Source organism: Homo sapiens, chromosome X, assembly GCF_000001405.40.
Source record: "Homo sapiens chromosome X, GRCh38.p14 Primary Assembly".
NCBI lineage: Eukaryota > Metazoa > Chordata > Mammalia > Primates > Hominidae > Homo > Homo sapiens.
Window position 1 is genome coordinate 37,633,469 of NC_000023.11, and position 26,696 is coordinate 37,660,164.

The 26,696-nt window shown below is 39.5% G+C and overlaps 1 protein-coding gene across 3 annotated transcripts in view; it reads left to right on the forward strand.

The window, feature by feature from the left end:
• LANCL3 (LanC like family member 3) overlaps positions 1–26,696 on the forward strand; it is a 112,803-nt gene that overhangs the window by 61,808 nt on the left and 24,299 nt on the right. For all 3 annotated transcript variants that reach the window (NM_198511.3, NM_001170331.2, XM_011543904.3), the window contains exons 2-3: positions 22,220–22,343; positions 25,994–26,191. In NM_198511.3, the coding sequence (NP_940913.1) occupies positions 22,220–22,343; positions 25,994–26,191 (322 nt within the window). The remainder of the gene's footprint in view (positions 1–22,219; positions 22,344–25,993; positions 26,192–26,696) is intronic.

Here is a 26,696-nt window from a genome sequence, read left to right on the forward strand (position 1 = left end):
TGAGGAACTGTGTTCCTTTGGAGGAGGAGAGGCGCTCTGCTTTTTAGAGTTTCCAGTTTTTCCGCTCTGTTTTTTCCCCATCTTTGTGGTTTTATCTACTTTTGGTCTTTGATGATGGTGATGTACAGATGGGTTTTTGGTGTGGATGTCCTTTCTGTTTGTTAGTTTTCCTTCTAACAGACAGGACCCTCAGCTGCAGGTCTGTTGGAGTTTGCTAGAGGTCCACTCCAGACCCTGTTTGCCTGGGTATCAGCAGCGGTGGCTGCAGAACAGTGGATTTTCGTGAACCGCAAATGCTGCTGTCTGATCGTTCCTCTGGAAGTTTTGTCTCAGAGGCGTACCCGGCCATGTGAGAAGTCAGTCTGCCCCTGCTGGGGGGGTGCCTCCCAGTTAGGCTGCTCGGGGGTCAGGAGTCAGGGACCCACTTGAGGAGGCAGTCTCCCCATTCTCAGATCTCCAGCTGTGTGCTGGGAGAACCACTGCTCTCTTCAAAGCTGTCAGACAGGGACATTTAAGTCGGCAGAGGTTACTGCTGTCTTTTTGTTTGTCTGTACCCTGCCCCCAGAGGTGGAGCCTACAGAGGCAGGCAGGCCTCCTTGAGCTGTGGTGGGCTCCACCCAGTTCGAGCTTCCGGGCTCCTTTGTTTACCTAAGCAAGCCTGGGCAATGGCGGGCGCCCCTCCCCCAGCCTCACTGCCGCCTTGCAGTTTGGTCTCAGACTGCTGTGCTAGCAATCAGCAAGACTCCGTGGACGTAGGACCCTTCGAGACAGGTGCAGGATATAATCTCCTGGTGCGCCGTTTTTTAAGCCCGTTGGAAAAGCGCAGTATTAGGGTGGGAGTGACCCAATTTTCCGATTTTCCAGGTGCCGTCTGTTACCCCTTTCTTTGACTAGGAAAGAGAACTCCCTGACCCCTTGCGCTTCCTGAGTGAGGCAATGCCTCGCCCTGCTTCGGCTCGCACATGGTGCGCTGCACCCACTGTCCTGCGCCCACTGTCTGGCACTCCCTAGTGAGATGAACCCGGTACCTCAGATGGAAATGCAGAAATCACCCATCTTCTGCGTCGCTCGCGCTGGGAGCTGTAGACCGGAGCTGTTCCTGTTCAGCCATCTTGGCTGTCCCCTTTGTAATGTGTGATTTTGGATTGGTTCCTGTGACAGAAAATAAAATAGCTGTAAGAGATATTATTGGGATTATTGGAAAAATTTAAATATAGACTAGATTAGATAATAGTATTGCATAAGTATTAGATTTACTGATTTTGATAATTGTACTGTAGTTAGGTAGGAGAATGTCCATGTTTATAGGAAATATATACTGAAGTATTTCTGGATAAAGAGGCATCATGTCTGCAACTTACTCCAAAACACCTTTCCTCCCCAAATAGAATGATTGAGCAAATGTGGCAAAATGTGAACAGAATATTACCATGGGTAAATGGTATATGAGAATTTTTGTACTATTCTTAAAACTCTATGGAATTATATACAAAAATTATAGGAATAAAAATAAATTCAAAGGGATGTTATTACTAGATACTGGGAAACCTCACAGAATTAAAAAAAAAAGAGCGACATAAGACTCAGGGCAGCATGGAAACCTTGAAAACTGGAAGTGAAAACTTGATGCCACTGGAACAATTCTGATCTGGACAGACTTCTTTGACAGAGATAATAGAAACCTGGAACTTTAGAGCAAGAAAAGACTTTTAAGATCCGTTTCATGAATGAGAAAACTGACATCCAGACAGCTAAAGTAACTTGCCCAAAGATAATGAATATAGTTTCCACTTGCAGACATTTAAGATTCCTTTTCCTGTTGATTTTTGAATGGATACCCAAAGTTTGTTCTCTTTCTTACACTTTTAAGTTAGAATATGAGATGAAGTAAGGACAAAATTAACAAATAATGATAAATATGCTGTAACATGAATATATATTCTGTAAACAAATATCTAAACATTTCCCCACACACAATTAACATGTTCTCCCCCCAAATTTTGTCCTTATATGTGTATAATAAAATATTTAAACATTAAAAACCATAGGTAAGCATAGTCTTTTTGTATCATTTAACACACCTGTCCCTATCCCCACCTTCCCCTTCCCCTTTCCAACCTCTAGTATCCTCTGTTCTACTTTTTATTTTTATGAGATCAACTTTTTTATTATATAGTTTGAGATAGCTAGAAAGAGGATTTCGAACATTCCCAACAAAAGAAATCACAAATGTTTGAGATGATGGATGCTAATTACCCTGATCTGATAACTATATTTAATATATATATATATAAACACATCACTATGTACCCTATGAATATGTATAGTTATTACTTAATTTTTTTTTAACTTTTAGCTTCAAGGGTACATGTGTAGGTTTGCTACATAGGTAAATTGTGTGTCACGGGGGGTTTGGTGTACAGATTATTTCATCACCCAGGTAATAAGCAATAGTATTCAATAGGTAGGTTTTTGATCCTCACTCTTCTCCCTCCCCCACCCTCAAGTAGGCCCCAGTGTCTATTGTTTCTTTCTTTGCATCCATGTGTACTCAGTGTTTAGCTCCCACTTATAAGTGAGAATATGCAGTATTTGGTTTTCTGTTCCTGTGCTAGTTCACTTAGGATAATGGATAGAGCCTCCAGCTCCATTCATGCTGCTGAAAAGGACATGATCTCATTCTTTTCATGGCTGCATAGTATTCCATGGTGTATATGTACTACATTTCCTTTATCCAGTCTACCATTGATGGGCATTTAGTTTGATTCCATGTGTTTGCTATTGTGAATAGTGCTGTGATGGACATACATGTGCATGTGTCTTTATGATAGAATGATATCTATTCCTTTGGGTATATACCCAATAATGGACTTGCTGGGTCAAATGGTGGTTCGTTTTAAGTTCTCTGAGAAGTCACCAAACTGCTTTCCACAGTGGCTGAAGTAATTTACATTCCTACAAGCCATGTATAAGCATTCCCCTTTCTCTGCAACCTCACCAGCATCTGTTAGAAAAAATAACTTTTTAAAAAGCTTGCGTAATTGTCTTTCATGACAATCTTATATGAAAGTCAGCTAGAAATTTGAATTTCTTCGCTTATTATATGGGTAAGTACAGTCTGTCCTCTTCCATGACATTTTTCTCACCTCGTAGAATACATTGACTCTCAATTGAAAAACAATGCTAATCTAGACAATTCTTAGAAATGTCCCTCATGATGTGGAGTGACTATGATTGCAGTCCATTTAGAAAGTATAATATCAAGCATGGGGGGTGCCTAGAAGCCATCTAGTCTGTCTATTCCTTTTAAAGGTGAAGACTGTTTGCACTTGGTTACTTAAACACTTTCTTCATCTCTTGCACCTGTTTCATAGTAAGGAACAGATTTTAAATGGAATATTATCTATTTGCATATATTGAAATAATAGTTATCTTTAGATCACTTCTGAAGTAGTATATTTAGAGAAAGCCAAGCATCCTCTAAGCATGCTTTCTACAGTTCTATATTACTTTTGGTTTAGAAAAGGCCTTTGTGTAGTGATTAGACAGTTATATTCAGAGCTGAGAAAGCAGCCTTGACCAATTATCTCCACAACAGCTTTGGAAATAGAATGCAAATCCTAGCCAAAGGATCCTAGGTGGTGGAGCACAAAATTGAATATATAGTGACATAGTGTGTGGCAAGAAGCAGTGCATTTTTGAAAAAGGAATTAAGTGTGCCTTCCATCATCTGTGTTCAGACATGATCATGAATGGCTAACATAAATTTTCAGACAATATGGATTCCTATAGTTCAGTGTGGTGACGGACACTATTGCCGACCAGAGCTCTTTTTGCCACATTGTCCTTACTAATATAACCCTACTTTTATTTGACATAGCGATTTTTGCCAATAATTGCTTGATTTTTCAGCTTTTCTTTCTGTCAGGTTTGCCATGTCATATAACACTAGCTAATGACATGTCAGTGTAAATATGCTAGGGTATTCTGGGAAACCTTTTGGTTTCCTGATAAAAGAGAATACATGCGCGTGGCCCCTTCCTCCCATTTCTTCCCACCTTGAATGTAAACATGGTGTCTGGAGTTGGCAGCAGCCATTTTGTGCCTATAGTCCACCATGAAGTAAGGAAGTGCAAATTGTGTCATCCTGGCTCTGACATCACAAGTCACTAAGCAATATCAGCAGTCAGCCAGTTTCAGACTTTTTGTTACATGAGAAAAATGACCTGTTGTTTGATTAAGCCACTAGAAGTGAGATTTTCTATTCATTTAAGTTAAATACATTCCTGATACAAATAGAGTAGACCCTTCTGGGAATGTCTGCCTAGCTCAGAATAACCCCATTTCTCTGTGAAGTTTCGTCCTACTTCTCCTCTCGGTGGATCATTGCAGCCATCTTGAATTAGTTGGCCCTGCTCCTTCAGCTAGAGTGGATGCCATTGTGTAAACACACCTGAATGAGGCTGAACCTGAATGAGGCTGAATGTATCAGATTCTCCTAGGAATTTAAAATTGGGTTTCAGTAACTCTATTTGATCCTGTAATGTGACTAAAACTTAGGGATATGTTTAAACTTGGAATGAGAGAGAGAGAGAGAAAGAAAGAGAGAGATAATATGATGGGAGGTCACCTTCAGCCACAGAAAAGTAGAGAAAGAAGACTTGTAGAAAGTGAAAGAGAGGCAGAGACCCATGTCACCAAGAGAGAGAACACTGGCTACAGCCTGGAGGATTTCTGGGTCCAAGCATTGGTTCCTTCTTGGTCCTAGCTGCCCTCAGGTTTCAGGAGCTGACTCAGCTTTCTTCCAGATAGGGGGACAGGCAAGGTTGTGCCCTGTATAAAGGCACCTGGTCAAAAGGGCAGGGGAAGTGAAATCCAGTCATGGTGTTCTGGTCACCAAGCCCTGGCATGAGGGTGTATCAGCCTGGAGGTAATGTACTCTTTTATGTAATTCCTCTTCCCAGTAGGGTGTGTACTTTTTTCTATTTCCAATAGTCTTAGGAAGACCCTACTTCAGGATACCTAGTAAAGTTGTTGCCTCCTACTTACAACCAAAGGGCCTTGACATTCAGACAAAATGTATTAACAGACAGCTAAACTATTCATTCTACCATATAACAGATATGCTGTTCAATTCCCTGATTTATTTTTGCTTTTTTATAAAAAAAATTGAAGTATAGTTTACATATAGCAAAATGTACAAATCTTAAGGGTATAACTCAGTGAATTAACTGTGCATTTCATACATCTATTAACCAGATCAATATACAGAGCATTTCCATCAATCTAGAAGGTTCCTTTATCCCAATGAATATCATTCACCCCACACACACACACCCAAACCCCCAAACAGGTAGGTAACCACTTTTCTGACCTCTATCACCATACTTTGATTTTGAACTTCATAGAGATGGAATCATACAGCAAATACTCTTTTGTGTCTCACCTCTTTTTTCATTGTTCATGACATCCAGCCATGTTGCTGCATGTATCAGTAATTGGTTCTCTTTTTATTCTTAAGTAATAGTCCATTGTATGAATATACCATCATTTATTTATTCATTCTGTTGACGTATATTTAGGAAGTTTCCAGATTTTAACTCTTATGGATAAAGCTGCTGTACATATTCTTATACAAATGGGCCTAGGCATTTATTTCCCTTGGATGTTGATGCACTGTAATAGATATCCATATTATATATATATCCATATATACATACATATACACACACATATATACATGTATGTATATATATGTATGTGTGTACCTACATACATATACACACATACATATATATACATACATGTATATATGTGTGTGTATATGTATATTATATATATATATAACATGCATGTATGTAGGTAAATTCTGTCTTGAGTCGTTCCTTCACATTGTAATTGAGAGACCGTATTTTTAAAGTACTGCTTCATGACCAATTACATATCTAGTGAACATGTTCTCTTTACATATTAAACATGAGGCTACTCAGTATCATGGGGAAGCCTGCTTTGGTTTATTTAAAAAGTGGTAAATGGTCAGTAGTATTTTGTGTTACAGCTAATGAGGCAAACTTATAGTGAGGGTACCTGGCATTAAGCTTATAATTAAAAGTCTAGTCTGTGACTAGGAAAATATCCAGCTATGCTACATGAACCACATGAGATTAAGCTCAGTTGCTTGTTCTAACCACCTGTGCTATTTGCAATACTAAATAATGCTGGATTTGCTATGCAAAGCCCTGTAAAGCAGTGTCTGTGTCCCAGCATCACACGTGGAGCTTTTTTTAAAAAAAATGAGTGTCTGATTCTTCTCTCTTACTTCCCCCAAAGTCTTGGTCTAGATTGAGATCTCTGTTTGTTTGTTTTGTTTTGTTTTGTTTTGTTTTAACTCACCATGTAATTATGTGCTATAGCAGCTGGCCATTTCTTTCATATGTCCATCCTTACAATTTTGGCGATTGCCTTCAGTTGAATTCACATTGGAGACTATGAATGAGTTTTATCTCCTGTTAAACTTTCCCCAGGCAACACGAGGTGACGGTACACAATTCACTTAATATTGATTACTTTATAAACATGCCCTCATTAAAATAATAACAAATTATGGACAGTGGCAGAATAAGACACATTTGGCGAAATAAAACATGGAGCATGATATGAGTTTATTCAGACTACCCCACTAGTATGTTATATTAGGCTGTTTTCACACTGCTATAAAGAACTATTTGAGACTGTGTAATTTATAAAGAAAAGAGCTTTAATTGACTCACAGTTGCACATGGCTGGGGAGGCCTCAGGAAACTTAGAATCATGTTGGAAGGGGAAGTAGGCACTTATTTACATGGCGGCAGGAGAGAGAGCACAAAGAGGGAAGTACCTCACTTTTAAACCATCAGATCTCCTGAAAACTGAGATCTGAGAACAGCAATGGGGAAGCCCGCCCCCATGATTCAATCACCTCCCACAAGGCCCTTCCCCCGACATGTGAGGATTACGATTTGAGATGAGATTTGGGTGGGAACACAGAGCCAAACCGTATCAAATGTAATCTCCATAGTGGCAGAGACTTTTCTCTCTTTTGCTCACTGATGTTCTCCTAGTAAGCCATAGCAGGGCTCAATAATTATCATAGAACAAATCTTTGTCTAAGACAAAGACCTTAGTTACTAACTTACAAGGTTATAAATCCTGCTTTGCCTACTACTGGTTACACATCTCAGTTGCTCATCTCAGCCATTCCAGGGCCAGTAGGCTCCCCAGCTGCATTCATTTGACAGTGACCATTTGAAACTTGTCAAAGATTAAATCTAAGGAAGAGAATTTGGGTAACTTCTTACCCTTAACAGAGTAAGGGTGTCAATTTACCTTCTCTCCTCTTCAGCCATAGAGCCAGCTCCCCCTGAAGTCCTCTATTCCTTTCTCCTTCCACTAGGCATAAAACAAAAATTGAATCTGGCCATGGTGTCACTTTTGTTCCTGGTAGTTAGGGGATGCAGATGGTGGTGGCAACTCCCTTGATCACACCTTCATGCTCTGGTCACCTCAAATATCCTTTTTAGATATGCCATTTACATAGAAAATGATTCTATCTGAATTTTATATTCTAGCTCTCCTAAAGATTACTGGTTAAAATTATTAAAAGAAGCCAGAAAAAGAGAAACCAGAAATATTTTCCCTTTAAAATACCAGAAAATGTCAACATAACAAAACTGCTGCTTTGGACATGATCACACAGAGGATGGATTCCCTACAGTACATAAATGAATAAGGGGAGAAGGATGGAAACATATATGTCCATTTTATTTCATATATATATATATAAAATATATTTCCCAGAAAGGACCTGGGAAGTTACTTCATTTTGCAGATGAATACAGTGAAGCCAGAGAGGTTAAATCACTGACTCAGGGCCATATTACGACAAAGCTAGAAGTTCTGAATTTTCCAACCATGGTTACCAGACCCCCCGACATACCCCGTAGCTTTAGGTTTCATGTTATACACAGAAAAGGTACCATTCATGGCCCAACCAGCACTATATCACACTGCTTCCTCTACATCCAAGGAATACATTTATTAAAATGTATTTTAAGGTACTAAAGGAAAAAGGAAGAAAGATCTAAGCAATTTTAAAGTATCTCTGCCTTCCCTTCTGCAATTATGACCTTCAGGGCATCCATCAATCCTACAGGCCCATGTCAAAGAACATGGGAAAAGATATCTTTTCAGCTTGTTCTGTTGAAAGCATCTAGGTGAAAGAGCTATTAAGCCTTAAAATGTCACAAATTGTTCAGATATTGTTCAACCAGGACCATTTTTGTGAATACCTCTCTGAGATGATGACAAAATAGGTAGTACATAATAGAGTCACTTGAGTGGAGGGAACTGTGGCTCCTGGAAAAGAAGATAATTGCTTCATAGCACTTGGTGCTAAAGCTCCCACAGGCCTCCTCTTTGTCTTCCCAAAGTGACTTTTAAGGATTTGAGGATCTACTGTCATGGTGACGGATTGGAGGGTGTCCATTGCCCCTGACCTGAAGCTGGATAAGTGGAAGAAATAGGGAGGTCACCCAGGGCAATGGCAGCAAAGAGTGTTTTCTACTCTTTGTCCCTGGGCTCTAGGATAGCACTTAACGAGAAAAATCAATTGCAACCTTGTGAGTGCAGTCAGAACTGGAAACTGCATTTAAATTTGCCTACTCAGGCAGTCAGCCCCACTTTAAAGAGCTTTAGAGTTAGAGATTTCTGTGGCAACAGAGGTGCACGTGGGCAAAAATTGCTTTGCAGGGTAGTGAAGGCTAGCAATGTTGTTAGATTGGCACTTTATGGCTGCCCAGTTTATGTGGGCTTGGCTGTAAGTAACCCAATGAACAGTGACTTTTTAAAAAGGGATTAGATTTTCTCTTATAACAAGAGTTTGGATATAGGTGGTCCTGGTTGTGGTACAGATGCTCAATAATGTCCAAAAATCCCAGAATTTTTCTTTCTCCTCCATCATTCTCAGAATGTTGGCCTTTCATTCATGTGCTCATAGCTGCAGAATGCAAATTGGCTGCTACTACTTCAGGCCTCACATATATATTCAAGGCAGCCAAAAAAAAGGAAAGGAAGATAACAGCCATGTATGTCCATTTTATTTCCATGTATTATGAAACAAAAAGCTTTCCATGAAGCTCCTGCAGATTCCTCCATTGATCAAGTGAGGCCACATAGCCAACCCTAGCTACAAGGAATGCAGGGTACTTGGCAAGGGACAATGGGATTTATATGTTTGGCTAAGGCTAATTACTGTCACTTAGGGCTAGACACAATTGCCAGCCTAATAAAACTGATATTCAGTTAGCAAGAAATAAAGAGAAAAGAGATGTCGCTAACTAATAGTGTAAGCCACTATGAATTCAGAATTGGCCTTTCAAAATAGGAAGGGCATTTACTGTATATTTGACAATAAGCAACTATTCATCCCTATATTTCTATACTCTCTAGTACATTATCATGTACCAAACAGGCACTTGAACATTTTGAACCATGGTTTGAGAATACTGTAATGACATACTCATTTAACAGTGGCTTAGAGAAAGGTATGATGTGAAATAGTCAACAAAGCATTCAGCCTTAATAATGTCGGCATTCACTTTGGGTACATCAGGAGACTGACAACTGCAGATAATTCAAGTAACTGATGCCAGGAAGCTACAAAGTGTTCTAGTCCTTTAAGCTTCCTATTAGGAAGAAAGTACATAAGAAAATAGACATATTGATAAAATAAAATGCCTAGAATAGGACAAGTTGAACCTGTGTTCTAGTTTCACCACAAAAGATTTTTTGCCTTTTCTCTAAGAAATTAAACTGCTGAAACATACTATCATGTTCACATTAAAGAATTACAGCCCAAATCTATATACAGTATATAGATTTATAAATGTCATAAAGACTTGAATCATAAAATGCTATATGTGTAAGACACATTAAAGACCGCCTCAGCCTGACTTCTTATTTTTCCAGATGAGGAACTGAGGTCCAGAGAAGTTGCATGATTTGTCTAAAGTTATATAGTTAGTTCGTATCTAGAAACCAGATAAACTTGGGAGACATTTTGAAAGAGCAAAGGAATGACATTTTGGGAAAAGTGGGACAGAGAAGGCTGCAAGTGTGGTGATGATAAAAGTAAATACACAGACATGAAGGGTCATACATTGCTAGTTTATGAATTAAAAGTTAGAACAATTTAGGAATGCAGGCTGACATAAGCTGGTCCTTGGGTGGAAGATGAGGTATAGGAAGTAGGCAACAGCATGGTTATTTTATGAGAAGTATGCTGAGCTCAAACCTCCAAGGCCTGGAGTTCAGTCACTATTGGACTTCAGATGTCCCTTTTCACTATAGCTTGCAGGCATTGTGCATGTGCTTTATGCTAGGAACCGTGCTAAGTATCTTATATGAAACCCTTACAGCAACCCAGTGACATAGATCTTATTATCACTACTTTTTACAAATGAGAAGAATGAGGCTAAGAAAGAATAAGTAACTCACAAATTCACACTACTAGAAAGTGGTAAAGCTAAGTTTGGAACTCAGGTGTATCTTACCCCCAAGTCCCTGTTTATCACCATGCTATTCTCCTTTTTATGTTCAAAAACCAGATTCCTCCAATGCTTTGGAGAACCATAGAGCTTGGAACCTAGAGGCACCTTAGATGTCACCTAGTACAGTGCTACTCAAGAGGTGCTTTTCTGGCCAGGAGCATCACCATCACCCAAGATCTTGTTAGAAATGCAAGACCTCAGGCCCCACTCCACAGCTACTGAGTCAGAATCTCTGAGGGTGAGGCCTGGGAAGCTGTGTTTTAGCAGGATCACTAGATGGTTTTTAGGAACACTAACATTTGAGAAGCTGTGGCCAGTGAATAGATACTAGTCCAGCCCCTTTATTTTAGATGAAGAAATGGAGGTCTGATGACTTAACCATGGGTATGGTGCCAAAGGAGCCTCAAGCCCTGATCTCCTGATTCCTAGTCCAGTGCACTGTCTGCTGTGTTCTGTGGTTTCCTCATTAGCTTCCCACAATGTGCATTGGTGCCTGTGTTGGAAACACTGGATGGCATTTAGTAGACTTCTGGCCTGACCCAGCATGTTCATTCATGTGCACATCAGGTTTCTCCTTCCATTCCTCCATGACTCAGACCAAAGGCATTTCTCTATACTCGGGAGGTCTTTTCCATATTTTCCCTGTAGCCCTCCTCTTCTTCATTATCATAATCATAGTATTATTACTTTGCTTTTTAAAACTACTTTTGCATTCATTCAGTATTTCATGTCAGCAGTTCTCAACCTTGACACTCTTTGTAATAACGTGGAGAGCTTAAAAAGGATACTCATCCCTGGGTCCCACGCCCAGAGAGTCTGATGTAATCAGTGTCGGGTGTGGACAGGGCATTGGGATTTTTAAAAGCTCCCCAGGTGATTGCAGTATGCAGTCAAACGTTGGGAACTGCTTTTTCATAAGAGTCTCATTATTACCTGAGGAGATAGGTGGGGCAAACGTAATCCTGTTTTTGTAGATAAGGAAGCTTGTGCTCTGAGACATTTAGTGTCTTAGAAGAAAGAGAATAAAATCATCTAGTGACAGTTGGTGCAGACTGGGTTACCAGCTACTTCTGATAAATCTTTAAAGCCAGCAGTCAGGCTGTAAGAATGGGGTAAAACCTGTTTTTCTTTTCTGGTTTCTAGTGTTTTCTGGGTTTATGTTTCTTCACATGAGAAGGGAAAAGAAACAACTGTGAAATGGTACCTGGGACCAAATGTTTATAACTGAAATTCCATGCTGAATCCCTTTAATGACTGGAGGATAATCATCAACTAGAGCAACCTGCTTCCTATTCCTCATAGCCCAGCATAATAATGATCAGGGAGCATCAGGAAAACCAGATGGAAGGGACTTGCTCATTCTGCACCAGCACACATGCCCCATTTAGAGACCAGTTAAGAAAATAACAAACCTGGCCACACTGGCTAAAAGAGCTCCTCAGTGGAGCATGCAAATATGGACATGTCTGTCTTACATGCAGAATATTGGAAGAGAATTTCTTATCGTTGCTGTGTCCCTTTTCTGGGTAATCTAATCATTTAAATGATAATATGCAACACTTTTGCTTGATGCTTCCTCTCGCTGCCTTGAATGTCGTTGGGAACTTCTATTGTTCCTTCGGTCTAACTTCTCACCTTTTCCAAAAGAAATCCTCTGCTGCAACCAGCCTCTCTATTTTCATAATCCTTTGCTACTTCAAGTGTGGTTGATGAACCAGCAGTGTCAGCCTCAGCATCACTACTGTTGTAACAAGGAGCTTGTTAGTAACAGAATCCTGGCCCCATCCTAGACCTACCGAATTAGAATCTTTGTTTTTTATCAAGAGCCCCAAGTAATGTGTGTGCACCTTGAGGTTTTTGAAGCATTGCCCCAATACACAGGACTCTCCCCATCATCCAATAAGTTAAAAATGCTCTCTTCCCCATGCTTTCATTTACCCACTTCCTACTTGTCCTTCAAAGCTCAGCTCATATTCCTCTTCCTCTATGAAGCCAATATTTACTCCATTCACGTTACTCCTTTACAGTACTACTTTTAGGATTTAAATGAATGCTGAATATTTCATTATTTAAATGTTTTGCATGTCTACTTAGTCTCATTATTAAGATTCCATGTTTCTCCAACCTAGCATAGGCTTTGCACATAATACTCATGAATTATTCAGTTTGTCAAGATCAGTTTCCTACTTGAAGGTTTTTCTTAAGCCCTATTTTGTATCTTTAAGCTTGCTCAACACCTTTTCTGCTCATGATGTTCTCTGGAGGTCACTATGCACTGTAAGAGTGCTCATGATGTTCTTCCTCAAAGAAGCTCCTCCAAGTTTCTGTCTTCTCAATACCTTAAGTAAATCTTTATCTGCTACAGAGATTTCCTGAAAGGCCTGGCTCTTTCTTGTAACCTAGTGGATTCCAAGTGAACTACAACCCCAAAGAGATATAGGAAGTAAAAATTTAACCACTTGTGAATATTGACTTTGTATAAACAATTTCTCTAACTTTTTAATTTGAAATAATTTGGACTGGGAATTTTAAAAAATAAGTTTAATTTTGGAGATGAGATGTTTTACTACTCTGTTCTGGTGCCCATAGGAAACTCAGGATCATCTTCTGCTGTTTCATGTGGGACAGGCCACGTGGTGGTATCTCTTTTGCTGGTCCCAGACCCTGAAGCAAGAGACACACCTCTGAGGCTGCCATCTTCCTGAGTTCCAGGCAAAAGGGAGGCACATATCCTAACAAACTGTAGATCCTCAAACCTGTCTGGAGGCCTGTTGTAAGACTCCTAAGGCTTGGCATGATGGGATGGAGGTAGGAAAGCAGGAACACCACACTCACACTGACTTTCAACTTCTGGTTTCTTTTCTATGTCAACTCATCCCACCTTGAACAGCTTGTATCTCCATCCTGAGTTTATTCGGAACTATCCTTCAAATCCATTGTTTTATGGTATCAATTTTAAGTATTAAAAATACCCAGGAGGCTGGGTGTGGTGGCTCACACCTGTAATCCCAGCACTTTGGGAGGCCGAGGCGGGCAGATCACGAGGTCAGGAAATCGAGACCATCCTGGCTAAGAGGGTGCAACCCCGTCTCTACTAAAAATACAAAAAATTAGCCAGGCGTGGTGGCAGGCGCCTGTAGTCCCATCTACTTGGGAGGCTGAGGCAGGAGAATGGCATGAACCTGGGAGACAGAGCTTGCAGTGAGCTGAGATCATGCCACTGCACTCCAGCCTGGGCGACAGGGCAAGACTTCATCAAAAAAACAAAAAAACAAAAAAACAAAACAAAACCCAGGATCTAACAACCCAAAAACTTTTTTCTTTATTGTTCATGCGTATCAAAAGTCATTTGTCTCATTCCAGTAGCTCTAACTTTAAAAAAAGACATACAAAAAAGTCATTTTGATGTTTATTGGGTAGTCAGATGGCTTCTTTCTCTAGGCAGAAGCCTATCCTACCAACAGGATGATGAGGCAAAGGATTGGGTGAAATAAATTGCTGGGTGAAAACATTAAGTTAATATCAGATTCTTACTCTGTTACATATATGTTTGCTATGATATCAGAGTGACCCTGCATTCTATGCAGATGGGCACTCAGGGCATTTTGGACTCTTGCATGATAATGTTGGTGGTGCTTGAGCAAGGCCTAGGGTGGGAAGTCTAGCACCTCCTTACAGTTGTTTCAGATTCTGTAAGGATTGCCTGTCAGGTCAGACTTAGAACTGTACTTCTGCACTAATAATTCATTGTCACCTTAAGACGCATACTCCGTATATTGTAAAAATGTTTCCTTGGGCTCTACCCACTTCCAAAAACGTGTTTGGGGTGGTTTACAACAAAAATTCACAAATACAGTGAAACCATTAACCATTCAACATGGATTAAGGTTTAAGAGGTAAAATGTTTATAGCAAAACCCCTAGGGTAAAGGAAGTTTCTGCACTAAGCACAGGAATTAACTCTGCCTTTTGGCCCTCAAGACTAAGACAAACTCTCACTTCACTTTGTTAGGTGGGCTATGAGGGTAGCTTATCACTTAGGCCTTCATACAGAGGCGTTAGAAAACTGTGAACAATATCTTCAACAGCAGTTTTACAAAACTTGTCTTTTTTTAAAAAATCAACCTTTCCTTTATATAGAAACCAAAGCCACGATAGTCATAGTTAGAAAAAATAATCTGTGGAAAGCCAGATTTGTATACTCCAGATATACAGTGTTGTCAGGACCTAACCTAATATTGGGAAATTTAAATAATTTATAGCTAATGTATCTTAAGCCAGTGCTTCTCAAACTTTCATGGGCATATGCTACCATCTGGTGATCTTTTTAAAATTCAGTTTCTTGGCTAGCCATGTGCAGAAAACAGAAACTGTACCCCTTCCTTACACCTTATACAAAAATTAACTCAAGATGGATTAAAGACTTAAATGTAAAACCCAAAACCATAAAAACCCTAGAAGAAAACCTAGACAATACCATTCATGACACAGGCATGGGCAAAGACTTCATGACGAAAACGCCAAAAGCAATTGCAACAAAAGCCAAAATTGACAAATGGGATCTAATTAAACTAAAGAGCTTCTGCACAGCAAAAGAAACTTTCATCAGAGTGAACAGGTGACATACGGAATGGGAGAAAATTTTTGCAATCTACTCATCTGACAAAGGTCTAATATCCAGAATTTACAAGGAACTTAAACAAATTTACAAGAAAAAAACAACCCTACAAAAAGTGGGCAAAGATCTGAACAGACACTTCTCAAAAGAAGACATTTACATGGCCAAAAAACATGAAAAAAATTTCAACATCACTGATCATTAGAGAAATGCAAATCAAAACCACAATGAGACACCATCTCATGCCAGTCAGAATGGCAATTATTAAAAAGTCAAGAAACAATAGATGCTGGTGAGGCTGTGGAGAAATAGGAAGACTTTTACACTGTTGGTGGGAGTGTAAATTAGTTCAACCATTGTGTAAGATAGTATGGTGATTCCTCAGGGATCTAGAACCAGAAATACCATTTGACCCAGTAATCCCATTACTGGGTATATACCCAAAGGAATATAAATTATTCTACTATAAAGACACATGCACATGTATGTTTATTGCAGCACTATTTACAATAGCAAAGTCATGGAAACAACCCAAATGCCCATCAATGATAGACTGGATAAAGAAAATGTAGCACATATATACCACGGAATATTATGCAGCCATAAAAAGGAATGAGATCATGTCCTTTGCAGGGACATGAATGAAGCTGGAAGGCATCATCCTCAGCAAACTAACACAGGAACAGAAAACCAAACACTGCATGTTCTCACTCATAAGTGGGAGTTGAACAATGAGAACACATGGACACAGGGAGAGGAACAACACACACCAGGTCCTGTTGGGGGATGGGGGGCATGGGGAGGGAACTTAGAGGACAGGTCAATAGGTACAGCAAACCACCATGACACACGTATACCTATGTAACAAACCTGCACATTCTGCACATGTATCCCAGAACTTAAAGTAAAATAAAACAATAAAAAATAAATTAAAACAAATAAAATTCAGTTTCTAATTCACTGGGTCTGGGCTGGGGCCTGGGAATTTGAATTTCTATCAGGATACCTTTACTGCTGGTCCATGGACCACACTTTGAGGAGCATATACCTCTTAGAGATATCAGAGGTCTCAAATGGGCAATTGACAGAAGTTTGAGGACAGATAATTTAAGACTGGACAGATAATTCTGAGTCCTCCATGACTCACACCAAAGGCATTTCTTTATACCTGGGAGTTCTTTTGCTAGTTTTCCCTTTAGCCCTCGTCTTCATCATTATTATTATATTGTATTATATTATTATTACTTTGGTTTTAAGAACTATTTTTGCACTCACTTAGTATTTTATGGCAGTAGTTCTCAACCTTGACCACTCTTTGTAATCCACTGGGGAGCTTAAAAAAGATCCCGGCCAGGCGTGGTGGTTCACGCCTGTAATCCCACCACTTTGGGAGGCCAAGGTGGGCAGATCGCCCGAGGTCAGGAATTCGAGACCAGCCTGGCCAACATGGTGAAACCCCGTCTCTGCTAAAAACACAAAAAATTAGCCAGGTGTGGTGGTGGGCACCTGTAATCCCAGTGACTCAGGAGGCTGAGGCAGAAGAATTGCTTTAATCCAGGAGGTGGAGGTTGCAGTGAGCCAAGATCGTGCCACTGCACTCCAGCCTGGGTGACTGAGTGAAACTCCATCTCAGGGAAAAAAAAAAAAAAAAGCCCCAATGCCGGGTCCCATGCCCAGAAGAGTCTTAGCATGTACCTTATCATGCACCATAGATGCAGGTATCTTTGTTATTTTGAGTGAAAGGATCTAGTATGGTAGGTAGGAAAACTGATGTGTTTATGTGAGGGATGAAACGACAAATGAAAGGTTTGGCTTTATATTCATATCTATTCTAGTTAGGCTCTTTTTGCAAGAAACTGAGACTCTCAAATGACTAAAAAGAAAGGGCGGAGTATGGGGGTGGGTATTGTATGGAAAATTGGTAGGAAGCCCTAAAGGGAGTAGCCCTAAACTGTTAGGAAGAGGGAGCTATAAGGACGAGCTACTTTTCTTTAACTTTCTCTCTTGGTATCATTGTTTCTTTTAGCATATCTGCTGCAGTCTCCTTTCACTCTCTTTTTTTTTTCTCTTTTTTTTTATTATTATACTTTAAGTTCTAGGGTACATGTGCACAATGTGCAGGTTCGTTACATATGTATACATGTGCCATGTTGGTGTGCTGCACCCATTAACTTGTCATTTATATCTCCTAATGCTATCCCTCCTCCCTCCCCCCACCCCACGACAGGCCCCAGTGTGTGATGTTCCCCACCTTGTGTCCAGGTGTTCTCATTGTTCAATTTCCACCTATGAATGAGAACATGTGGTGTTTGGTTTTCTGTCCTTGAGATAGTTTGCTCAGAATGATGGTTTCCAGCTTCATCCATGGCCCTACAAAGGACAAGAACTCATCCTTTTTTATGGCTGCATAGTATTCCATGGTGTATATATGCCACATTTTCTTAATCCAGTCTATCACTGATGGACATTTGGGTTGGTTCCAAGTCTTTACTATTGTGAATAGTGCAGCAAGAAACATACATGTGCATGTGTCTTTACGGCAGCATGATTTATAATCCTTTGGGTGTATACCCAGTAATGGGATGGCTGGGTCAAATGGTATTTCTAGTTCTAGATCTTTAAGGAATCGCCACACTGTCTTCCACAATGAAAAAAACCATTATTTAAAAAATTAATTATTTTATCTGTGCGGTTATGCCTTTAACTTGACATGCAGTTAAATTTGTTTCATTTTATGACTTTTTAAAGTCTTTAGAGTTGGCAATTTTGTTATTCTTTATAGTTAAGTTTATGTTTTTTAACTAATTAAAAGACTTACCAATATTAGAAAATAGAAATAATGTGAATATGCACACTCACATTCTTTTTATTTGTGTCCTTTTTCCTAATCCCTCTTTACTGATATAATAAACTTTCTTTTTCTGGTTTTTGCAAGTTTTTTTTTTTATACTTTAAGTTCTAGGGTACATGTGCACAATGTGCAGGTTTGTTACATATGTATACATGCGCCATGCTGGTGTGCTGCACTCATTAACTCGTCATTTACATTAGGTATATCTCCTAATGCTATCCCTCCTCCCTCCCCCAACCCCATGACAGGCCCCAGTGTGTGATGTTCCCCTTCCTGTGTCCAGGTGTTCTCATTGTTCAATTCCCACCTATGAGTGAGAACATGTGGTGTTTGGTCAGTCTCCTTTCACTCTCACTGCTGGTCAGTCTCCTTTCACTCTCACTGCTGGGTGGTTTATTCTGTTTTTCTCCATCACAGCCCCTGCTTACTCCCTGTTGACCTCAGTTTATGCATGGACCCATTCCTGACCTGTCTTCAGCAGCAGCTGGGATTGCTGACAGCTTCATTTTTTTTTTTTTTGAACATGCATTTCAAATTGTTGAGAGGAGGAATTTGATTGGCATTGTATGCCTTAGGACACTGGCACACCCAAGACTTAGTTGCTATTCGCATATTCAGTCAGTGCTGATGGGGGAGGGGCAGGAGGTGTTTGATGCCTAGAAAAAGAAATACAGCTAGCAAAGACTGCCACTTCCTGTAGGTAGGACTCTTGCCTTGGGAAGGAGTCAGTGGTGAGGCCAGCATTCTGTGGTTTGGTCCTTTTTATTGACTTTTTTTTTTCAAAGAAAGTCATCTCTCCTCTGCATGGAGGTAGTTCAGTCATAGCATGACTTTCAGGCAGGGCCAAGAAATATAGTATGAGCTTTATTGCCCTCTTGTCTCTTCATACTCAGGCCAAACCAATAGGAATATTTCACAAGGTCAGTAAAGTGAATCAGTTAAACTAAACAAAACGGTTTAAACCAAACCACCTCAGATTTGCTTCGTATTTTTGAAATATCTTAATTTATTTTAATTCAATGTAAAAAGAAAAGAATCTATTCCATCCAAAATATCAACAAATGCATTGATCTTAGGGGCTACAACTACAGGAGAGGGAATAATTTGGGTTTGTTTGGTGAAGGCCTGATGGCCAGGGAGCCCCGCTCTGCCATTCCTAGTCATTTTTGTTCCCCCACCGGAAATGCTGCTCCCTCATTCCCAGGATCTCAGAGTGTCTCAAAAGCACAGAGGCCATCTTTGGAGGCAGTGGGTGTGCTCATGCTTGTGCTCCTGTGTACTAGGGGCAGAGAGTGGAGGGATATTTGAGAAAGCAGACACAGGAGAACAAGCTCAAGCCCTTACCCCAGAATCTCAACTCCCTTCTTCTTTCTGTACTGTTTGTTCGGGGGCGAAAAATACTCTTCCTCAGTGTTCCCCACACACAGGCTTTTAATGAACTCTGTTTTTAGTTTTTATTTGCTGATCAGTAAACTGAGGGTAGGTCTTGTCTGTTCCCAGAGATAAAGAACTGCATGCATAACTGGTCTCTATCCAGCCGAACAAGCGCCGGTTTCTCTTTGTTTTTCACAGTGTTTCTGAGAGATAAGAGGAAACCACCCAGACATGATACATGACCATGGGAGGTTTTGAAATAATATTTTATAAACTCATTCCCTATTCTAAGCTGTGGATTCGGGATAGAAAGAAAGGGGGAGGGCACCACATATAGTGTAAGTTGATTTTTTTCTGGGTTAAAAATAAGCAGGCAAACACACACGTACACAGACATGCACACACACACACACACAACATATGAATAAATGTTCAGCTGGGGAAATAAGCCAATTTTCAGTTATAGGCATGAAAGTCAAATAGGAAAAATTTTAGTAGTGCAAATGAATACATCCCTGAAAATTCAGTGACTGTTTCCTACCACAAAAACTTCCTCTGTCATATGGATTCAAAATCAATATTGAGCAGAGCCAGATATATTCCCAGAAGACTATGGGATTCAATCAGGATAGAGTCCAATTAAGTGCATGCCCTTCAGGGCTTTTAGCAGGTTTCTGAGAAAGAGGGGTTGATTTGAGACAAATGATGATGCAAGATTTTAAGTAGTGTAAGACTAAACTTAAGATCAGTTGGCACTGATAAAGACACAAAGAGTAAATGTTTTCAATACCAAATGAAAATTATGGTAGCAATTTGAATGGTTGTATTTAATCATTTAGGAGAAATTTGCTATTAAGCTAAGGAAAGAAGACTTGGGGCTGATATGATAGGACAGTGGGGATGCAGCATAGGAAGATAGGGTCTTCAGGAATGTTAGGAGGAGTACACTTAAGAGACAGAGAGAGTGGTTAATAAAAGGGAAATTTAAGTTGAAAGCCATGACATCATTATTTCAGCAAATAGAAAAAAAAAAAAGAGAATGTAGTCTTACTGAAGCCGAGTCCATCTTACCTACTCTGCATTACTGTTTCTTTCTATCTCTAGGCTCATGAGCTTTAGTTGCTCTATTGTAGACTCTTGTCTATATCTCATCTCCAGTGCTGGATGGTAACTTGCCTGTAGGGAAAAAATATGTCTCATGGTTTCTCAAATTTCTCCACAACACCTAGTGTGGGACCTTACTGGAATAGTAGCTCAATAAATGTTAATTGGCAGAATTAATTAATGAATGGTATCCTCATGAAGTAATTATTTTTCCAAATTAAATGCTAGATTTTGGGAAACCAAAGCTGGATTATATTTTTTCCTTCTAATACCAGGTAAATCAGAGGAGCAATTTATGAATAAATCATTAGAAACTTATTTCAAAAGGAATTGGCTGGTCTAATGCTGGATATTGGGTAGGAAAATTAAATGTGTCAGTTTTAGGAGAGAGGCCAAAATCCAACGGACTTTTTATTGATCCCAGATTCATTCAATCAGACTAAACTTAGATGTTTTTTAGTTTTGGTTAATCTGACCAGTACGTTTCCTGTGCAGGTCTACCTTTTGGGAAGATTGGCTTCATGAGAGCACAGGTTCTGTCTATCTTGCTCACTGTCATATCTCCAGCATCCAGAACAGTCTTGCCTGGAATGTAGTAGAGGCTTAAGAAACAATCGTGGAGCGGAGGGAAAGAGAGGGACGGAGGAAGCGAATAAAGAATGAAGGGAGGGAGGGCTCTGAATTTCATACCAGTTAAACTGTCACTTATTTACTCACTCATCGGTTGTGAAGGACCCCCCTCAGACTCTGTGTTAGGCACCAAGGATACCAAAATTATGAGGTGCCACAGTGTTTGCTCTCAAAGAACTGATAGTCTAGTGAGAGAGAAAGAGAGAGCTCTAACACAACAGAGAGAGATCTAACACAACAGTGCTGTGCAGCAGAGCAAATGTCACTGTCATAAAGGGAGTGTGCCAAAGGGAACATCTAATTTGTCCCAGGAAGGGCAGGATGCAAAACATATGGCTAACCTGAGCAGAATCTTAATAAATGCAATGATGCTTTGAAGGCTTGAGAACCGTTTAATCTCTATAGTCCTAAAACCGACTGTGGACAGATTGAATAAAACATGGAAGACTGCAAGTCATTACATTTTAGCCATTCTCTATTCAGAGTCATTTTGATATTAGAAGTTATTTTGTGTTGACACTATTGGACTTTGGTTTCATTCAGGTAGTACAAATGCCTACAGTGAGTCCGTCATACTGCAGCTTATCACAGAATCATGGCTTTATAAGTACAGTCTTTATAAGCACAGTCTAAATAACACAAATTGAAGGTCTGATGTTTGGGCCAGACCTACACTGTACACCAGGAGTAACAGCTTTGTTAAGCATAATCAGTTAGGACCACTATTTGTTCTTTTCTGAGCAAATCCTTGTTCCTGTGACAAGGATTAATGATATGACAGCCATAAGGTAGTCTTTGTATTTTATAGCAACCTATAGCTGTAAAGGTGTGTGTTTTCCACCGAAATGGCAAGTTTTCTAAAGAGGGTAGGTTTGACAACTTGACAACAAAGGAAGAATCAGTGGTAAAAAAAGAATAAATTTTCGTTGACTAAGTTTATTTACATATAGTACAGGATTCTGTGGATATGATGCTAGACTTCTTAAGCAAGAAAATTCAGTGTCTAAGGAAAAAGGAGATCCTGCTTTGACTTCTACTTCTGGATTTCCTTATTCAGGTGCTGACTCCAGCACAGATCAAGTCAATTTGTCAGGCAATTCTGGACTCTGGGAAGCAGTATGCCATAAAGAAGAGGAAACCATTCCCCCTGATGTATTCTTACTATGGAACCGAATACTTGGGTAAGTGAAGGTGTTTGCATGGGCCTGTAGGAAGGAGAAAGTCTCTAAGATACTACCAAATAAAGGCTGGAAGATTTTGTTTTTGCCATAGGTCATTACTAGTCATTTAATAAGAAATACTTTAAAATTTTCTTTAAAAACCTATACTGATACATAACACAAATCACAAGTTAATATTTGTTTTCGTAGTCTACCTGACAGAAATGTAGCTATTTTAACAATTACTTTCACTAAAGACTAATATCTTTATTCTAGATTGTAAGCTCATTGGCCTGATTTTGCTGAAACATTGTGAAAACTTTTCACACACGATTGAAAATAGTGCCTCTGCATAGGGAAGTAGGATTCAGCCACTAACGTTTTGAAGTTTTTAATAGTAGTGTGTTTATAACAGACTATTGAATTGTAATGGCTAATGGTGAGCTCTGGGCCATGCAAAAAAAAAAAAAGGGAAATTAGTTACTCTTCTTTTGAGTCCTTCAATGGCTTACCATTACTACTGAGCAAGATTTGCAAGGCCCTTTATGGACCACCTGCCTCTTTCTCTAGACTCAAACTTTATCTTTACCCTCCAGGTTCTGTCCAGCATAGTCTCCCACATGCGGTGTTCTCTTTCCACCTTTGTCCATGTTCCTTTTGCCTAGAATGCCCTACTTCCCCCAACCCCTTTATCTATCTGTAATAATTATACCCAGATTTCAAGACTCTGCTCAAACATCATTAATCTGCTGAAAAATGTTCCGTGCTTTTGGAAAAAGGGTTGTTGAATCCTCTCTGGAGAAAGATTCACAAGTTTCAGGTTTTCTCCCAAAGCAAAACTGGGTAACATGCTGTCATCCTGCGTATACTTCTATTGGAGCCCTTATTACACTGTAATTAGTGGCTTACCTGCCTAACTGCCTGAGCAGGCTTTGTACACCTTCAGGATGGGAACTTTCTCTCATTTATCTTCATGATTCTTAGACCTTCACCACAGAGCTTGCAAATAATTAGGGAACCCAAATGAATGAATGAATAGCTAATAAACAACTTCAATGAGTTTTCTCAAAGAAATTTTATGTCTGTTTAAGTTTCCCCAAAATCAAACGCTGAGACAAGGATTTGGGTGTAAAAGGTTTATTTGAAAGGTAATTTCAGAAAGTGTTGATAGAGATGTGGAGAAATGAGACAAGAAAGAGAAAGAAGCTAATTGAGTGTGTAATAATGAGCAACTGTGGACAACTGAGGCTCAGTTCCCCTAGGGAATCTTAGAGACTTTATAGAACACATCTCAGAATCGTTTCACCCAAGGGGTGAGGAAGCTGGGGTATTCATCCACCAACTCTCTGCTTTATTGATTGGCTGCTCCTAGAGGTATTAATTCCCTAGCAATTCTGTCCTGCCCCTTTGGGCAGGGCATACTCCTGTGGCCAGAGAAAGCCTCAGGCAAAATGATAGATGCTTGAGATATGAAGCGGGAGCAAAGATGCATCTGAATGTTGAGTGTAGATGAGGTGATGAGCCAGGGCACTGACAGTGTCTGCTATAGTCCCCTAATCTATTCCATTCATTTTTCTGGTTTTATTTTTTGAGACAAGGTCTTGCTCTGTCACCCAGGCTGGAGTGCAATGGTGTGATCATAGCTCACGCAACCTCGACCTCCTGAGCTCAGTTGATCCTCCTGCCTCAGCCTTCCAAGTAGCTAGGACTACAGGTATGCTTCAGTATGCCTGGTCAAATTTTTATCTTTAATTTTTTTTTTTTTTTTTTATAGAGACAGGGTCTTGTTATGTTGCTCAGGCTGGCCTTGAATTCCTGGCTCAAGTGATCCTACCACCTTAGCCTCCCAGTATTTTTCAGGTTTTCGTTACAGAAATTAACATTCTGGCTTTTTACATATATATAGCTTAAACTATATTTCTATCTAGTGCATAAATATTTTCCTGAAAAGCAAGCTTTTTTTCCCAACAATTTCGAATCCAGCAAAATAAAGATATTTTCACATTTCATGATCAGATTTTAAGAGCAATAGAAATTTTGACTGAATACAAACTGTAAAGCTGTTTCCAGGGAGTCAAGAGTTCTGAGTATGGCAAAGTAAAAGATCCCTGAATGCAAAAAGAAAGCTTTAAAGTTATAGAGTTGAGTTTAAAGAGCAAGCCATCAGAATACATTGACCCTAGTACTGCCCACTAATCGGGATTCTACTAACTGGGAATGAGTGAAAACTCCTAGAGGGACTGGACTTTGACCTTTGTTAAGCTAACTTCTTTTCCAAAGGCAGGTTCAGGCCTTTGCTAGTTCAATACCCATTGCTAGTTCAGAATTCTCTGAGGAATTCTCAAGACTTTGCTCAGATGACACTGTCTGTATGGAACCTTCAGCATCCCCTCCACCTCTGAGGCCAAGTTAAGCTCTCCTCCATTCCTTCTATTAGTCCTTGTAGTAGTCATGGTTCTCTAGACAAACAGAATATGATTTCTTATATAACTAAATGATTTATTGTAAGGAATTGGCTCACATGATTATGGAGGCTGAGAAAGCCAGATCCAGGAAAGCCAATAATGTAAGTTCCAGTTTGAATCCAAATCTGAAGGCAGGAGAAGGCCAATGTCCCAGTTCAAAGACAGTCAGGCAGGACAAACTAATTATTTCTTACTCAGACTCTTTATTCTATTCAGGCCTTCAGTGAATTGGATGAGGTCCACCCACATTGGAGAGAGCAATGTGCTTAGCTCAGTGAACAGGTTCAAATGTTATTTTTATCCAGAAACACCCTCACAGACACACCCAGAAGTGACGTTTAACCAAATATCTGGACACTCCATGGCCAAGTCAAGTTGACACACACAATTAACCATCATACTCCTGGTACACATTGCTCATAGAACACTTATCATGTCATGTTCTAATTATTTCTTTACAAATCTGGCCGTTTCATTGGACTGGATGGAGAGGTCTTCAAATGTATCGACCAAATCATGTTTATCTGTATAACCAGGGTTAGACAGTGCCTAATATGCAAGTGTTAAATGTAAAGGATTAAGTAAATGAATATCAATAACTAGTGTTAACATTACAAAAGAGGGATTTAGTCTGTTTTGTGCAGTGATCTATCCTCTGTACCTAGAACAGTATCTTGTACAGAGTAGATGCTTAATACTTGTGTGTCGAATGAATAAAAAAATAAATGTTTAGGATACCTAGACCAAATTATTTTCAAGCATTTTAGGAGCATTTTCATGAAAGCTACTGATATTTCAATTACAAAGTTTTAAAAGATCTCTTCTCTAAAACAGAGTTTGGTCAGCAAATTTTTTCTGTAAAGGGCTAGAGACAGTAAATATTTTCAGCTTTCTGGGCCGTATGGCCTCTGTCACAAATACAACACTGCTGTTGTAGCCAGAAAGCAGCAATAGAAAATATGCAAATGAATGAGCATGGCTATTCTTTAATAAAACTTTATTTAGAAAAACTGGCAGTGAGCCATATTTGGCCTGCAGGCTATAGTTTGCTAGAAGCCTAGTTCTTAGGCAACTTAGTTATCACATTGCTATATGAGCTTTCAAGTAATATTGGCTTTATTGTTTTATATCCTGTTGATCTTTTCACTAAATCAAACTAGCTGTCCTCCCAATTGTGTGAATTTTATGCCTTGTTTGTTAATACAGGGGCAGCTCACGGCTTGTCGTCTATTCTTCAGATGCTTCTTTCTTACCATGAGCATCTCAAGCCCTCAGATCGGGAATTGGTATGGCAGAGCGTGGACTTTCTCATGGAACAGGAACAAAACTGCAACTGGCCACCTGAGCTCGGCGAGACCATCGAGAGAGAGAATGAGCTGGTGCACTGGTGCCATGGCGCTCCAGGTCTCACACACTCTGTTACCTAAAAATATTGCCTTTCATCTAGGTTAGCCACAGGGTGGTTCCTTTTCTGAGAAGTGAGGATAGCTAATCTTATGTCATTACTATGTGAGATAAAAGGGTCAAGATGAGATTTTTCAAAGCCAAATGTCCTGATCAGTAAACAACTTCTGAAAATGGTCCTCTACATTTTAAAATATATGATCTATATCTATTTGTTTATAAAGTTAAACTAACATTGTCCAATAGAAGTATAATATGAGCCACATATGTAATTTTCATTTTTAGTAACCTCATTAAAAAAGTAAAATCAGGCAAATTAATTTTAATAATATATATTATAGTTCCCAGTGTACCCCCAATATTACCATCTCCATGTATATCTGATTTGAAAATTGAGATATTTCACATTTTAAAAAGTATTCAGTCCTTGAAATCCAGCATATACTTTATACTTATGTCAAATGTCAATTTAGACTAGCCACATTTCAAGTGCTCAGTATCTACA